Below are 17,414 nucleotides of genomic sequence, written 5' to 3' on the forward strand. Positions count from 1 at the left end.
TTTAGACATAATCATTTTCTCGGTGACTTCCCCACCATACATTTTAATTAAAAGATGAACTTCGGCTGATCCTTTCTTTATTCATGAATGTTCAGATGATAAGGATTTTGAATATTTTGAATTGTTTAGAACTACTCACTACCTTTAGGAGAAATAGAGGATTTTGTGCAGAAATTAATATCTTTTAAAAAATAAAACAATGCGGTATTCTACAACTTCAAGATGCCCAGTTACTAATATTTTCAAGAAGACATCTTCTGCCATCAAACTCAGTAAATAAAACATTGTCCATAATTAGCATGGCTTTTGACATGTCTCTCCCTCCCATCACCATTGCTTTTTCTAGCCGTGACTATTACAGAGAAGCTTTTTTCAAAATCATTTTTACTGTCCATTGTTCAGCCATAATTCTGGAAATTGATGGGCCTTTAAGTGCTACTCTGACTTAATAATACCTCTTGTTGGAACAGCCATGCAGGGCCAGGCTTACCTAGAAAAGATCCCCTGGGCTGGAGGGCAGTTGGGAATCTGTCCCACCGCTGTGATTGTCTGAAAGTCCACAACAGTACCACCTGTATGCTACGGCATTAACAATCACTAAACTTTTTTTTTTCATAATCTTGTGTAGGTTTATTATTTGACAAATGGGAAGACTGTTGGTTGGGAGTACTTTAAAAGCCAGCCAGCCCAAGCCTCTGGCTCACAACATCTCTCCAAGAGTCTAAATCAGAGTACCAAACTGATGGACTGTAAGCCAAAGCCAACCCTTAAATACTGAGTTTTGGCTCTTGGCTCTTACAGTATTTTAAAAATGTGAACTGGTTGCCAGGATTTTAAAATTAGGAAATTTCACACAAAAATTCCTACTTCTAGCTTCTCTCTTGACAAATTGGAAAATCTGACTGCTGAGCACTCTTCTTGTGGGGAAGTGCTCCTTAGGAGTTTGGGGCCTTCTCCTCTGCTGGCCCCATCGGGTCTGCCCCACTCCCTCGTTGCCTGCCCAGCCCCTGCAGATATTCAAGTGTGCTGCCTGCTCTAAAGTGACCTCCTCTCCAACAAGAAAGGTACCACATCCAGCCAGCAGAGCAAGGAAAGGCTTAGAGCTCCTGAGGGAGGAAGGCAGGAAGACAGGAAGGGGCTCAGAGAGGAAAAGGAATCCTGGAACTGGGTTTCATCCCCTTCACAAAATTGTTTCCGTTGATTCGAGGGTTTGCTTGAAGCTGAAGGAAATCCCTGAGTTCACTTTTTAGCCTCTGTTGTAGCCATTCTACAGATGCTTGTATAGTGGTGGTAGGAGCTAAAAAGCACTGGGGAAAATGAAGCTTTTAGGGACCTGTGGATTTCAGTTTTTCTCACCCTCCTTAGTTCTCATTACAGCCTTGTTCAAAAGGCAAACAAATGTGCCTGGTACCCACGAGGTACTCAGGAAATGCTGAATGAAGCAACAGGAGTCAGATTTCCTCCAAATGACAATTGATTTTTTTTTTTTTTTAAGTTGAGCTAGAGGGTAGACCTTGATAAAAGTCCCAACCCTGTCTTTGCAACTTTGGTATCTTATACAGTCTTTCTGAGTCCATTTCCCCATCTGTGAAATGGGGCTGCAACACCTGTCATGCAGAAGTATTGTACGGTGGGAAGTATATGGAGTGCTGGGGGTAAGCCCTGGCTCATAAAGGAGTAAAGACAATAGTAGTTATATAAATAGAGTTAGGAACATAGCAGATGCTCAAACCAGGAACTGTGATTGTCGTTATTAGCTGTTGTTGCTTGCTGTCTATCTTGGTACCATTTGATTTGTAGGAAAATAATATTAACATTACTCATAACTAGGTATTTTAACATGGTGTGTTCACTTTTCCATCATATTTTCTTTTCAGGCCATTAAGTGCTGTTTAGCAGATCTTCCACAATCTATTGGCATGTGGACACCAGATGCAGTGCTGTGGTTAAGAGATTCTGTTTTGAATTGCTCGGACTGTAGCATTAAGGTTAGCTATCTTGTTGGGCCTGATACATTTAGAAAGGGAGCTGGCAGCTGTCAGGGCTCATTTAGTTTTTGTGAAGGAATTTTATCTCACTGTAAAATGGATGCTTCCACATCCAACACATTTTTTATATTCAGCAAATTGGCTACATGTGTAGCTGTAAGATATTTTATGGTTTAATTCTTATTTAAGAAGTTATCCTGTCTCTCCAGTATTATTTTTAAATCCTTCTTATAATTTTTCCCATTATTAATGTAGAAGAGATGGTTCTCCACTTCTGTTTTGCTTCATGATAAGGGATTAAGTCCCCAACAGAGGGACCACAGATCTCTTGATAAATGTTTCTAAAGATCATTTAAATAAGTCCTCTATTTCTTTTTTATTCACAAAGTAGAATAGATTATAAACAAATCATTTATTTATAATTGTGGTTCTCAGCCTCTTTTTCCTAAAGTTTATTTAATCTGCCATACTTATTTCACTAGCTCTTGTTTCTTTTTCTGTACTTTTGCATCTTTAAATCAAAAACATTGCTCATATATCCAAGAATACAAATTTAAGAAGATAGTTTTTCTCTGTTAACTGATGGAAATTGTATGACTGTTTTATATAAACATTTAAAATGAAATGTCCTTGAAAAATATCTTCATGAAGACCTCTAAATTATTCTAGCTAGCAGTGATTTTTCTGTCTTTGTATTCCTCTGGGGTTTATAGTGTACAATTACATGCTTAATTATATACTATTCCATATTCTTCAGTTGTCACATGATAATACTGTTTTCTCAGCTACTCTTTAAGCTCCTAAAGCCAGAATATTGGATGGTTACTCAATAAAAGTACTTTTTGTTAATTTTTAAAACTGTACTTCTGTATTATAAATTTCAAAATGAATTTGCAGTCAGTATTTAATTAGTACTTCAGAGGATGAATGTAATAGAGGCATCTTGTTGGGAAAAAAAAGAAATTTTAAGTAAATCACTGTAGATGGGTTGCCTTGCTGTTATCTCCCTCTCCGCAGACCTGTGTTCCTGCCTTTCATTTCTAGCCCTATTTGGTAAAAGATAAATGTGGCTGGAAGTATCTTATTTTTATCATTCCTAAGATAAACCAGAGTTGCTGATGAGAATAGCCAACAGTCACCTAGCTCCTTGGGACACACAGCAGTACAGTCCCAATTATTAATGTATGATATTTCCATACAAACACCCCTCTGGCCGAAAGAGCAAAGATGGTTAGGTAGTCAGAGGTCTCCTGGACAAAAAGTGTAAAACTAATTTTGACCCGTTCTGTGGAGCTTGCTTCCTCTTTTTCTCCCCAGGTCCCTCTCCTCCCATGTAATTGGCGATGGGGAAAGGGGTGAGGACATATACTAGGACCAGACAAGGAATTTGAAAGAGGGGTGCTTACAGATATGGTGGTTGTCAGAGCTTTTTCCTTCCCTTCCCAGTCTTGAGGACACACCAGCCTTAAGCAGAACGCTCATAAATCATTTTGCCATCATTGTGATTGTTTTTTATTATTGATGCTGGGTGATGAGTATATCAGGGTTCATCATACTTATCATTTCTACTTTAAGTGTTTCGAAATATCATTAATTTAAACTATTTTAATCATGATATATAGAATCCTTTCTGTCAATGATAATGACCTTAGCAAGTTATAAAGTTTTCTCAGACTTTTTAAAGATTAGTAAATTTTTTATTTCCATAAGGCTGCACTGTTCCCTAGACTATTTTGACTTCAGAGCCCATTCATTGCCAAGCTGTGATAATTTATTTTTCCTTAAATAAAATGGATTTTAGCAAGGGTTTTGGCAAAATACTGTGTTTTAATGATTAAGGTTACTATAACTGCCTCTCAAAATTTAATGTGAACTTGTATTTCTTATATCATTTTTTGTGTTTTCCAAAGGTTACAAAAGTGGATGAAACCAGAGGGATCGCACATGTTTATTTATTTACCCCTAAGAACTTCCCTGACCCTCATCGCAGTATTAATCGCCAGATTACAAATGCAGACTTGTGGAAGCATCAGAAGGATGTGTTTTTGAGTGCCATATCCAGTGGAGCTGACTCTCCCAACAGCAAAAATGGCAACATGCCCATGTCGGGCAACACTGGAGAGAATTTCAGAAAGAACCTCACAGATGTCATCAAAAAGTCCATGGTGGACCATACGAGCGCTTTCTCCACAGAGGAACTGCCACCTCCTGTCCACTTATCAAAGCCAGGGGAACACATGGATGTGTATGTGCCTGTGGCCTGTCACCCAGGCTACTTCGTCATCCAGCCTTGGCAGGAGATACATAAGTTGGAAGTTCTGATGGAAGAGATGATTCTATATTACAGCGTGTCTGAAGAGCGCCACATAGCAGTGGAGAAAGACCAAGTGTATGCTGCAAAAGTGGAAAATAAGTAGGTCCTTGGACAAAGCATTTTATTCTACTCCTAAGAAAAATGTGTAAAATGATGCCAGAGTCTTAATCTTGGCGGGGGGACTTCGAACTGTACTAATGGGAATTTTGAATGTGAAACAAACACAGTAATTTTTCCGATTTTCTAGTATTTAAAATGATGTCACTTATCAAAAAATCTATTGGCCATATTCCTGTTAAAACCCAATTATATAACTAAAATGAATGTTTAAATATTTTTTCTATTTTTCTATTAGAAAAATATTTTTATTCAGAAAATAACCAGATTTTTTCATTTAATGACTTTTTATTTTAAAAATAAAAATATTATGGAAAAATTTTAAAATATAAAAAAAGCATAAGAAATTAAAATCAACCACCCACACATAACACTTGTTAAACTACTTATGTATTTCCTCTAATTTTATATGTGCATATTTATATAGTTGGTATATTATTAGTATGTATAATTTTGTACCTGCTTTTTTCACCTAACATTATGTCATGAACATTTTTCCATGTGATAAAATTTCTTCAGGAACCTTTATAATGGCTATTTTAATCATGATATACAGAATTCCTTTTTCCCAATGAAATCATAATTTACTTACCATTCTATTTTGTTATGTAAGGTTTTCTCTCCTGTATTTTTCACTATTATAAATAATAGTGAATGTAAATCTTTGCATTTCTGATTATTTATTTACGGGATAGATTCCTAGAAGAAAAGTCACTTGTTGGAAGATGGCAAGACTCTTGCTTTATGTTGTCAGCTGCATCCTGGCATCTGTGCCATCTTTCATAAGGAGCAACAATGCTTATTTCACTACTCTTTGGCCTTGGGGCTGTGAGAACATACTTTCTCTTACATTTCTTTAGCGCTTCAGTGTTTTTTCTAATATTTTCACATTTGGGTCCACACCCTCCTCCCCAAAGCCCTGCAGGATGTGCTGGTTTCATCCAAGTGAAGCCCAGACACCCCACTGTCCACTTTCCACTCAGGCCATGAAGCCCTGGGAAATGGCACAATGCCCATCCTGTTCCTTTGCCAGCTTGCTTAGGAGAAATGAACAAGCTTATTTATCAATGCTGAACACAAAGAACAGTCACCCCTCCCCAACACACACACACACACACACACACCCCAAAACTCAGTTTAAAAGGTCAAACTGCTTATTTTTTATATGAAATGTTTTAATTCTTTAAGATAGCAAACATAGGCATGTATAAAGTTTTGTCATTTTCATGGGAGAAAAAAACTAATTTTTAACTCTCAGTGAAGCGTATAAAAGCTCTCATTTCGAAAAACATACAATTTGTATGTCATAAGCTTTTCTTCTCTAAAAAACCATTTCTACTGTTGTGTTATTTATAACCACAAGCATAAATAGGTTTAATTCAGCTTGTGTAGGTTTGCCTCAATCAGAGCTCTTTGTAAGATAATTCAATCACAGTTAAAAACCAAACTAATGTTCTGGGGGGCAGATTGATGATTAAAGGTGAGGAGATCCTCCTTGGAGTAAAGGGGTTGGGTAGGAAGGAGAACACATCAACTGGAGAGCTCCAATATGAGCCCTTGCACTCCCCACTCTGCCCTCCATGGCTTTGAACCATTCTGCCCCAGGACTCTTGGACTTTAGTTAATTTGTCCCAGATAATCAAGGGATGTTTTGTATATAAAAACAGATAATCTGATTTTTTTAAAACTTCATGAACTGAATCAGTATAAAATGTTTAGAACTTCTGTCTTCCTTAAGACTCAGGACTATTTACTAAACTTTGTTCCCAACTATGGTAAGTTAAGACTTAGAAATTTTAGATACATATTTTTATTACAGCGGTTTCCAAATCTATCGCAGCATAAGAACAACTTGGAAAACCTATTAAAAATGCAGATTCTTCTTCCTTACCCCAGGCATTCTGAATCAGAATCTTTGCAGGTGGAGCTCCAGAATCTGTTGTTAACAAATTCCAGGTGATGCCAGTACTGAATTTTAGTAATCTAGTCAAAACTGAAGTCTTCCCTTAAGCTATTAGTTTTGAAAGTTGAAAACTAAATAGAAATACAACACATCAGTTTTCTGGGACTCTCTCTTCACTGCCCTATACCACTTATTTATGGACTAAAAACACAGACCACCACCAATTTGCCCTGTACAATTTTAAGATGACGCTGTTGGTGGAAACCAAGTGTTTTTACCTCCTTTTGTGCTTACACAAATTAGCAACCTACACCGAAAGTGTTTCCACCTGTGAAAATTTCTCTTCAGTTTGATCTGAAGTTCTTATTTATAGTAGCTTGTCTTCATTTTAATAATAATGATGATAACTATCATTTGCCAAGTGCCTATTATTAGCCAAGTAATGTCCCAGGCACTTTCCATGTATTATTTCTGTAAGTGAATTTACATTAAATATTAAACATGAGATGATTGAGGCTCAGAGCTTAAATGAAGAGCCCAGGTGGGACTCTAATTCAGGTCTATTTGGCCCCCAAAACTCATGTACATACTATGTATCCTTTCTGTGTCCCAGTTGTCTCTGGGACTCATGGAGTATTGCTTGCTGCACTTTGAGCCTGTCTGAAAGTTTCTGGAGTTCCCTCAGAAGCCCCCAGTTACAGTGTTGAAAGCTGACCTTTTTGTTTCGGGGTTTCTCTGTAGTTCATCCTATAGCAGCTGCATGGGTTTCCTATACTAGGTGTATATGGGCTGGAGAAACAGTCCATTCCAGCCAGCCCCAGTCCAGCAGTGTGTTGTGGTACAGGGCTTGCTGTTCTGGTGGGCTTCTGGCTGGCAAACCTGTTCCAGAGAATGACTGACCATGCCACCTGAACTAGAGGCCAATTTCCACCATTTAGCAGCAGAGACCACCTCCATAGACACTTTCTTTCAGCTGTTAGGAACAATCTTCCTTTCCTTCATGTAGTAATACTTTTTAATCATGTATTTGAGACTATAGGACTTTAAAGTGATCTTTCATTATTAACCTTGAAGTCTGGGTTTTTCTCATTTTAATGATGTTGATGTAGCTTCTGTAGGGGTAAGTAGATTCCTGTGGATTTCCTTCTGGTGCCTTGAGCTCCAGATCTGAAGCCATACTCCACCTCCCTCATACTCCTCTACCTTTTCCAGGTTCTTTATTTTAGGTGGTGGGTTGAATCTTGTGTTTTGTTCTTTTTTTAATGACCTTGTCATAATTAAAATTGCAAACTTTTTTTGTACAAAACTGATTTGATCTGTCCCCAGCGTGCCTTCCTAGTCTGACTTCTCTTCCATTCTTCCACACATTCCACTCTCTAACTATACTGGAAGGTTTGCTCTGCTCCAAAACACTATGCCCTCTCCAGTCCTCTGTGCTTTTCTTCTCAAGCATTTCTTCATCCCCAGCTGGTCCTGCTTGCCTCTCTCTTTCCATCGTCCAAGCATGTACCATATCCAAACATGTGGCCATCTTCTGTCCACCCTCCTTCAGTGAAGGGATCCCCTGGCTTTGTCCTGGTCATCCTCCATGGTGTTTGTTTCTTCTAATTAATGATGGTTGACAGTTTATATGTCTCTTTCCTTCACTAACTCCAGGGGCTTATAAAAGTCTCTTGAATGAGCAAATTCTATCAAATAAGACAGTGGCAAAGCAGAGAATAGTAAGCTTTGGAAAAAGGAGCAGGAAATGCTTTTAAAACTTTTTTGAAAATATAGTTTTAAATTTTGATAAACATAATTTGCATTAATTTTTCTTTTTATCATAAAATATTTCTTGCCCTTAAAGCAGGTACTGAGTTTATGTGTTTTCTCTTCCTTTTTAATTTAATGTACATCTAGGTGGCACAGGGTGCTTTTAAAAGGAATCCTGACCAATGGACTGGTATCTGTGTATGAGCTGGATTATGGCAAACACGAATTAGTCAACATAAGAAAAGTACAGCCCCTAGTGGACATGTTCCGAAAGCTGCCCTTCCAAGCAGTCACAGCTCAACTTGCAGGTAATTTCTGTGGAATCTGAACTCATGCTACAACAATGCAATATTGTCATTTTATCCTGGGTACTTAGCAAGTACTGAATCATTGGCCTCTTGAGTTTAGGTATGTTGGGTTTTTGTTTTTTTGTGCTAATAATATTGCAACCATAATGGAAATAATTTTAATGATGTCTTACAGTCGTGCTCTATCATTATATCTGCTGTTTCTCTTTTCTCTACTCCTTCTGTCTCTGGTTTCAAGCATGAGTATATTTCTAAAGCTGTGATCTTAGTACAGATATAATACTGCATTCTGCTTTTCTTCATCTAGTGTTGTTTTCTAATGACTTTCTGGGTGGTTTTATGGTTGTCCTACTTGTTTTTAATGGGTGCAAAAATTCTATCTAATCAATACTTCCCTATTGATGAACATTTTTATTGTAATATCAAGAAAAACCCTGCATCTTTACACTAGCTAAAACGAACCAAAAAACAATGGAAACAACCTATTATAATAACCAGTAGGAGGATCATACTTTATTATTATCGCATAAATTATAATACATCTACATAATAGAGTATTATGCAATCTTAAAACATTCCTGGGTCATGGAATATATGACCATTTTCATGACCAAGTGAGTTTCCAGTTTGCAGCACAACTAACAGCATACAAGGGAGCAATTTCACCACATTCACATCAGCCTCTTGATTGTCATTAAAATGGGAGGAACCAATTTAACAGGCATACAATGACACTTCCTTGTAATGTGGTCTAATGAGACTTCCCTTTTATCTTTTGTGAAAGCAATACAACTGTTGGTGGCTCCCCTGTGAGCACCCTACCATTATGTAGCATGAACAGCTGGATGAAGCTCAACCCAGAGGCCTTGTAGCGTTAGCAGAGGTTTTTGAGGCCCAAAGAGTTGAGGGGTGCCTCCCTGATCACTTTGCTGCTGCTCACAGTCCTCAGCACCTTGCCCCATATGTGGAACACAGTGACAGAAGTGATGTGATGTCAGCAATGAAAGAAATTGTGTATATAGGTTCTTCTTTTACTTATTGATCAGCTTTTATTGGAAGCCTGTGTATTGCCTTATTTTGAAATATTGCCAGCTTCTCTGTGTCTTCCTACTAGAATTCAAAGGCAAATCCTATGGTAATTGGATATAAAGCAAAAATAACACTGTCATGTAGCATGGCCACCAGTTAGTGTGGTTTAGATTCAGACCTTCTTCTTCAGATTTAATGGTTTTTTTTTTTTTTTTTTTGTTTTCACTTTCTAATGCTCAGGTTTTCCTAACAACACATTTTGTTAAATGTGACAGTTATACTCCCCAGAGAAGGCTTCTCTGTGAAGAATGAGTGCATGGTACCATCATCCCCATCACCAGCATTGTGGCTAAGAGTTATTGGTACTTATGGTGTGCTAGGCGCTCTACCAGTCACTTTAGAGCTTTCTTCCTGTTTAATATATGCATTCGGTGCTACAAGTTTCCCTCTAAGTACAGCTTTGGCTGCATCCCACAAGTTTTGATGTGCTATATTTTCATTCAGCTGAAAATACTTTTTCATTTCTCTTGAAATGTATCCTTTGACCCATGTGTTATTTAGAACTGTGCTTAATCTCTTAAGTATTTGGGGATTTTCCAGCTATCTTTCTGTTACTGATTTCTAATTTAATTCCATTGTGGTCTGAGGGAAAACATTGTATTATTTTTAAATTGTTAATGTGTGTTTTATTTCCCAAAATGTGGTTCGTCTTGATGAATGTTCCATGTGAGCTTGAGAAGAATGTATAATCTGCTGTTTTGAGATGAAGTATTCTATAGATGTTAATTACATCCAGTTGACTTATGATGCTGTTGAGTTCACTTATGTCCTTACTTATTTTTATGCCTTCTGGATCTGTCCATTTCTGATAAAGGGGTTTTAAAATCTCTACCTATCAGAGTGGATTTTTTTCATTTCTCCTTGCAGATCTATCCATTTTTGCCTCATGTATTTTGATGATCTGTTATTAGATGCATGTACATTAAGGATTAGTATGTCGTCTTGGAGAATTGACCCCTCTACCATTATGTAATGCCCCTCTTTATCCCTGATAACTTTCCTTGCACTGAAGTCTGCTTTGCCTGAAATGAATATACCTACTCCTGCTTTCTTTCAATTAGTGTTAACGTGGTATATCTTTCTCCATCCCTTTACTTTTACTCTATATGTGTCTTTATATTTAAAGTGGTCTTGTAGATAATATGTAGTTGAGTCTTATTTTTTTTTATTTACTCTGACAATCTCTGTCTTTTAATTGGTGTATTTAGACTATTGACATTGAAAGTGATTATTAATATAGTTGGATTAACATCTACCATATTTGTTACTGTTTTCTATTTGTTTTCCTTGTTCTTTGCTCTTATTTTTGTCATTACTCTTTTTCTGCTTTTTGTTATTTTAATTGAGCATTTTAAGTAATGCCACTTTCTCTCCTTTCTTAGGATATCAATTATATCTCTATTTTTTCCTTTTCTTAGTGGGTGCTCTAGAGTTTGCTATATACAGTTAGAACTAATCCATGTCTACTTTCATGTGACATTGCACTGTTTCATAGACAGTGCAAGTACTGTATAATAACAAAATAATGTTAATTCCTTCCTCCAGGCTCCTGTATCATTGCAGTCATTTACTTCACTTACATATAAGCAGATACATGCACATGTGCACACGTGCACACACACACACACGCATACAGAATCAAATACATTGTTGCTATTATTTTGAACAAACCCTATCTAATAGATGAATTAAGAAAAAGAAATATAAAAGTTTTACTTTACCTTCACTTATTCATTCTCTGATTTTCTTTATGTCGATATTAATTTCTGACCTATATTATTTTCCTTCTCTGAAGAACTTCTTTAATATTTCTTCCAAGGCAGGTGTGCTGGCAACAAATTCTCCCAATTTTTGTTTGTCTGAGAGTCTGTATTTCTCCTTTACTTTTGAAGGATAATTTCATAAGGTACAGAACTTTAGCTGGTGGGTTTTTTCCTTTCAACCCTCTAGTCTCTTCTTGCTGCATGATTTCTGAAAAGTCAGATGCTTCTCTGAGAAGTCAGAACAAAGATTCTTATCTTTGTTCTTCTATGGATAAGGTGGTTTTTTGCTTCTGGTCTCTTTCAAGACTTTTGTTCATCTTTGATTTTCTAAAGTTTGAATGTGATATGCCTAGATATATTTTGGTGGGGGGGGGGGCATTTATCTTGCTTGGTGTTCTCTGAGCTTCCTAGATCAATGATTTAGTGTGTGACATTAATTTGGAGAAATTCTCAGTCATTATTGTTTCAAATGTTTCTGTTCCTTTCTCTCCTTCTAGAATTCTTATTATGCATTTGTTACACCTTTGATAGATCTTGGATTTTTGTTCTGTTTTTTTTTTCAGTACTTTTTCTCTTTGCTTTTCAGTTTTGAAAGTTTCTGTTGTCATATCCTTGAACTCAGAGATCTTCCCTCAGCCAAGTCTAATCTATTAAGAAGCCCAAGACATTCTTATTTTCTTTTATAGTGTTTCTGACCTCTGACCTCTAGCATTTCTTTTCTTTTCTTTTTTTTTTTTTTTTTTTTTTTTGAGACAGAGTCTTGCTCTGTCACCCACACTGGAGTGCAGTGGCACGATCTCAGCTCACTGCAACCTCCGCCTCCCAGGTTCAAGCAATTCTTCTGCCTCAGCCTCCTGAGTAGCTAGGACTACAGGCATGCACCACCACACCTGGCTAATTTTTGTATTTTTAGTAGAGACAGGCTTTTTCACCATGTTGGCCAGACTGGTCTCGAACTCCTGACTTCGTGATCCACCCACTTTGGTGATCCTCCCACCTTGGCCTCCAAAGTGCTGGGATTACAGGTGTGAGCCACCACACCCAGCCCACATTTCTGTTTTATTGTTTCTTAGAATTTCTGTGTTTCTACTTCCATTATCCATCTGTTCTTAAATTTTGTCTGCTTTTCCATTAACACTGGTACCGTATTAATCATAGTTGTTTTAAATTCCTGGTCTGATTATTTCCAGCATTCCTGCCATATTTGACTCTGATTCTGATGCTTGCTCAGTCTCTTCAAACTGTGTTTTTTTCCTTCCATATCACTTGTAGTTCTTTGTTGAAAGGTGGACATGATACATTGGGTAAAAGGAAATCTGGGTAAATAAGGCTTTTGTAATGTAGCAGCAGCAATGTGTGTCTGGGGTGTGAGGGATGTTATGTAGTCCTATGATTAGGTCTCAGTCTTTTGTTGAGCCTGTGCCCCTGGACTGGGAACTTCACCAGTGCTTCTTGGGGTCTTTCCCCCTAGCTTAGGTGGAGCAGGATGGCTAGAGGGGAGTGGAGTTGGGTATTTCCCTTCCCCCAGGAAGGTTAAGCTCTATAAAACCCTGTGAGGTCAGGCTCTAGTAAAATAGTTTCTTCTGAGGACAGAGCTTGTTAAGAAAAACAGAAAGCTCTGGTGTATTTCAAAATGTTCCTTTTCTCCTCCCCCAACTGGAAGCATGAGGAGATTTTTCCCTGATATTCACTGTGAGTACCAGGTAGTGCTTCTGGAGGTAAAACTCTCAAAAGTGTGGGAGACAGGGCCCTATAACTGGGTTCCCCTGGAGTTTTTAACTCTCAGACTTATTTACATGTACCCCTAGCAATTTGTCAGTTACAGTTTAGGTTTCCCTCCTCTGGCTTCCAGGCCTCTGCTCATTGGTTTCTGCTCTAGTACGCTTTGACTCTCAGTATCTTCCTGTCTGTCTCTCTGGTTTTGGGGACAGTGAATTGCCCTGTGACCTTCCTTCTCTGATGGACCTAGGAGTAGTTGTTGATTTTCTGTTTGTTCAGCTTTTTGTTTCTTATTAGGAGGCAGTAGCAACTTCTAAGCTCTTTACATGCCAGATCGGTAGGCAGAAGTTCTACCAACTGCTTTACTTCATTGAACTCTCCCCATGCTAGGAGGTTTAGGTACTGTTACTATAACTGTTATACACATCAGGGAATAGCAGCTTAGTGAAGTTAAATATCTTGTCCAAGATCCCACACCACAGCCTTAAACTCAGCACTCTGCCTCTTCAGTGTGTGCCTTTCTTCACTGTATACTTCCTTCTCCATGAAAAGTGTGGTTTTTGAAGTCAAAAGGCTGAGATTCAAGTCATTTAACTTCTAAACCTACCCCATGATTATTTATAAAATTACCAGTAAATTCCTATCCTGTCTATGTGACTGAACTAATATGTGGATCAGATGAAAAAGTGAATATGAAATTGCCTTTTGAACTAAAACTCATAGTCCAAATACATGAAAGTTTCTTTGTACACTTACATCTGAAACAGCATTGCTGTTGGGTCCCATCCATGTCCTGAGTTCCTTTTCTAGGCTCACCTCTGCCAAGCCTTCTTTCTTCCTTTTGACTTGCTCCTAAGTCACAAAATCTTCCTGGGTATCACATTATCCATTTTGAAGGGAGGACCTCCATTTTATAATTAATTGAAAACATATGAACTGGAACTATTAAACTATATGTGGCGGAGAGTATGTCTCTCTTGGGCCAACATAGGCATCCACTAGAGAGAAGCGAGGTAGACTAGAAGTTTCATGGAAGTCACTGGTTGTGACATGGCCATTGGAGTCATCACTTTGGTAGACTTGGTTCACACCTAGCCAAGCCCTTTGACATATTTAGGAATATCTCTAGATGTAAAGGAGCTCTGTGGAATCTAAGTGGAACCCATGGGAATGCCCTGAGTGTTTAAACTGGAATGCTTTAAGGATTCTCCAGGGACCTTGGGATTACCCCTTACTCGCTCACAAATGGGATCACTGGATGCCCACCCTTTCAAGGTTCCCAGTGTATTGGGGGAAATTTCAGCCAGATATCGGGTAAAATTCACCCCCGATATTTCATGTAGGTTCTTTTCTATTTTCCCTAAGTGTCGGCCGGTCTGAGAAATAAAGGGACAGAGTACAAAAGAGAGAAATTTTAAAGCTGGGTGTCCGGGGGAGACATCACATGTCCGCAAGTTCCGTGATGCCCCCTAAGCCGTAAAATCAGCAAGTTTCTATTAGTGATTTTCAAAAGGGGAGAGAGTGTACAAATAGGGTGTGGGTCGCAGAGATCACATGCTTCACAAGGTAATAAGATATCACAAGGCAAATGGAGGCAGGGCGAGATCACAGGACCACAGGACCGGGGCGAAATTAAAAGTGCTAATGAAGTTTCGGGCACACGTTGTCATTGATAACATCTTATCAGGAGACAGGGTTTGAGAGCAGACAACTGGTCTGACCAAAATTTATTAGGTGGGAATTTCCTCGTCCTAATAAGCCTGGGAGCACTACAGGAGACTGGGGCTTATTTCATCCCTACAGCAGTGACCATAAAAGACGGCCGCACCCGAAGCGGCCATTTCAGAGGCCTACCCTCAGGGACGCATTCTCTTTCTCAGGGATGTTCCTTGCTGAGAAAAAGAATTCAGCGATATTTCTCCCATTTGCTTTTGAAAGAAGAGAAATATGGCTCTGTTCCGCCCGGCTTACTGGCAGTCAGAGTTTAAGGTTATCTCTCTTGTTCCCTGAACATTGCTGTTATCCTGTTCTTTTTTCAAGGTGCCCAGATTTCATATTGTTCAAACACACATGCTCTACAAACAATTTGTGCAGTTAACGCAATCATCACAGGGTCCCTGAGGTGACATACATCCTCCTCATCTTACAAAGATGATGGGATTAAGAGATTAAAGTAAAGACAGGCATAGGAAATCACAAGGGTATTGATTGGGGAAGTGATAAGTGTCCATGAAATCTTCACAATTTATGTTCAGAGATTGCAGTAAAGACAGGAGTAAGAAATTATAAAAGTATTAATTTGGGGAACTAATAAATGTCCATGAAATTTTCACAATTTATGTTCTTCTGCCATGGCTTCAGCCGGTCCCTCCATTTGGGGTTCCTGACTTCCCACAACACCAGTGAGTTGTTGCTTCATTACATCTGGCCTTGACCTGGGCATTCTTTGCATCAGTGCACCATGGCCATGCACAAAATTTTCTGAATCCTAGAAGAAAGGGAGCCATACTGTGGAATCATCTTTTACCTTACCAATGGGTTACCTTTTTTCTTCTTAAATAACATGGCTCAAAGATTGTCAGGGCTGCTGCAGATAAAATGAAATTTCTAGGCTTCTCTTGTGGGAAATAAATAATCAAAGAATTTAGCCCATTTGCTATATAGATAGCAAGTCTTCCAAAATTATGTCTGAAATTTCCATATCTTAATTACTTTGGGGCATAATTTACAGTTTATGTAATCCAGTATATGTGGACTTAATTGTATTTCTTGAAATATGTATATATATATGTATATATATATATATATATTTTTTTTTTTTTCGAGAGGGTCTCACTTTGTCACCCAGGCTGGATGGAGTACAGTGATGCAGTCACGGCTCACTGCAGCCCTGACCTCCCAGGCTCAAGCGATCCTCCTCCCTTAGCCTCCTGAGTAGCTGGGACTATAGGCACAGGCCATTACACCCGGCTAATTTTTGTATTTTTTGTAGAGACAGGGCTGGGCTATGTTGCCCAGGCTGGTCTCGAACTCCTGAGCTCAAGATACCTGCCCGCCTTGGCCTCCCAAAGTGCTGGGATTACAGGTGTGAGCCACTGTGCCCGGCCAATGTGTACTTTCTTGTCCCAGTTTTGTTTTAAAATCGAATTTAGAATTCTCTAACTTGATTTCTCATGATCTGATCCAATCAGGTTCTTTTATCATAGGTGAGATCAGCTGATTTGCCTAAGACCACACCACCCGATAGAGGAAAAGCTGGGAATAGTAACTGAGTCTGTTGACTTTCAATTCAGTGCTTTTCCCACGATGCTGTGTATAATTTTAAATAACTATACTGTAAATGAATCATACAATAATTCTTTTTTTTTATGATATTTGGTCCATCAGAAAAAAAATTTTTAATGAAAGAAATGTCATTTAATATGATATTGATATTTTATTCTGTTATTAGTTTAAATATGCATATACTTTATGGGGGTTGTACAGTAGTCATTATTACCTCATTTTATAATACAATGTTAAGTCTCAAATGAAACTTGTTTTTTAGTTAAAGATTTCCAGAGTGACTCCATTCAGAGTAGAAAAACTATAAGCTGGAGTGTTTTAAGATTGTTCAGTAACCGTTTTTCAGTTCAGGCAAGTCTAACCTGGGATGCTTAAGTTACTTTGGAATTGACTAAATAATTTTCCATCATAATGGATCAAAGAAAAGCTCCTTTGACTCCTCACTGCTCCCTCTTCTTCCTCTCTTCCTCCTAGGAGTGAAGTGCAACCAGTGGTCTGAGGAGGCTTCTATGGTGTTTCGAAATCATGTGGAGAAGAAACCTCTGGTGGCACTGGTGCAGACAGTCATTGAAAATGCTAACCCTTGGGACCGGAAAGTAGTGGTCTACTTAGTGGACACATCGTTGCCAGACACCGATACCTGGATTCATGATTTTATGTCAGAGTATCTGATAGAGCTTTCAAAAGTTAATTAATGACTGCCTCTGAAACCTTGACAACTAATTCAGATTTTTTAGCAATAACAAAATGTAGTAGGCTTAAAAAAAATCTTAACTCTGCTACATGGCTCTGACTGCTGTGGGGGATTGAAAAGAATATGCTTATGTTTGATGAAAGATATTTAACAAGTTTTGTTTTAACAGAGTTGACTTTTCAAAGAAAATTGTACTTGAATTATTACTATAATATTAGAATAAAAATGTTTATCAATATAAAAGCTGACTACCTTTTAATTTCTAGGCTTCATGATCTTAAGATGAAAGCTTCCGTTTCATGTTGTCTTCCTTGCAGAGCTGGGTTCTTCTCCAGTGAAGCTGAGACTATTATGACTTAACTCTACCCTGATGTAGTAGTGTATCTCAAAGCAAGTGATCACCAAAGCATGTGAGGACTTATCCTGAGTCTTAACACATCAGCATTTCTAGAGGAGCAGCCCAGGCAAACCAACGTGACCCT

The 17,414-nt window shown here is 38.2% G+C and overlaps 1 protein-coding gene across 6 annotated transcripts in view; it reads left to right on the forward strand.

Moving 5' to 3' along the window:
- TDRD7 (tudor domain containing 7) overlaps positions 1–17,175 on the forward strand; it is an 84,030-nt gene extending 66,855 nt beyond the window's left edge. For 5 of the 6 annotated variants that reach the window (NM_014290.3, NM_001302884.2, XM_047423111.1 and 2 more), the window contains 4 exons: positions 1,878–1,988; positions 3,899–4,401; positions 8,222–8,382; positions 16,713–17,175. In NM_014290.3, coding sequence (NP_055105.2) covers positions 1,878–1,988; positions 3,899–4,401; positions 8,222–8,382; positions 16,713–16,933 — 996 coding nt within the window. In that variant the 3' untranslated portion in view covers positions 16,934–17,175. Of the gene's footprint in view, positions 1–1,877; positions 1,989–3,898; positions 4,402–8,221; positions 8,383–16,712 lie in introns of those variants that run through there. The other variant, XM_047423113.1, reaches the window with a different exon arrangement.

Source organism: Homo sapiens, chromosome 9 (genome assembly GCF_000001405.40).
Source record: "Homo sapiens chromosome 9, GRCh38.p14 Primary Assembly".
Taxonomy (NCBI): Eukaryota; Metazoa; Chordata; class Mammalia; order Primates; family Hominidae; genus Homo; species Homo sapiens.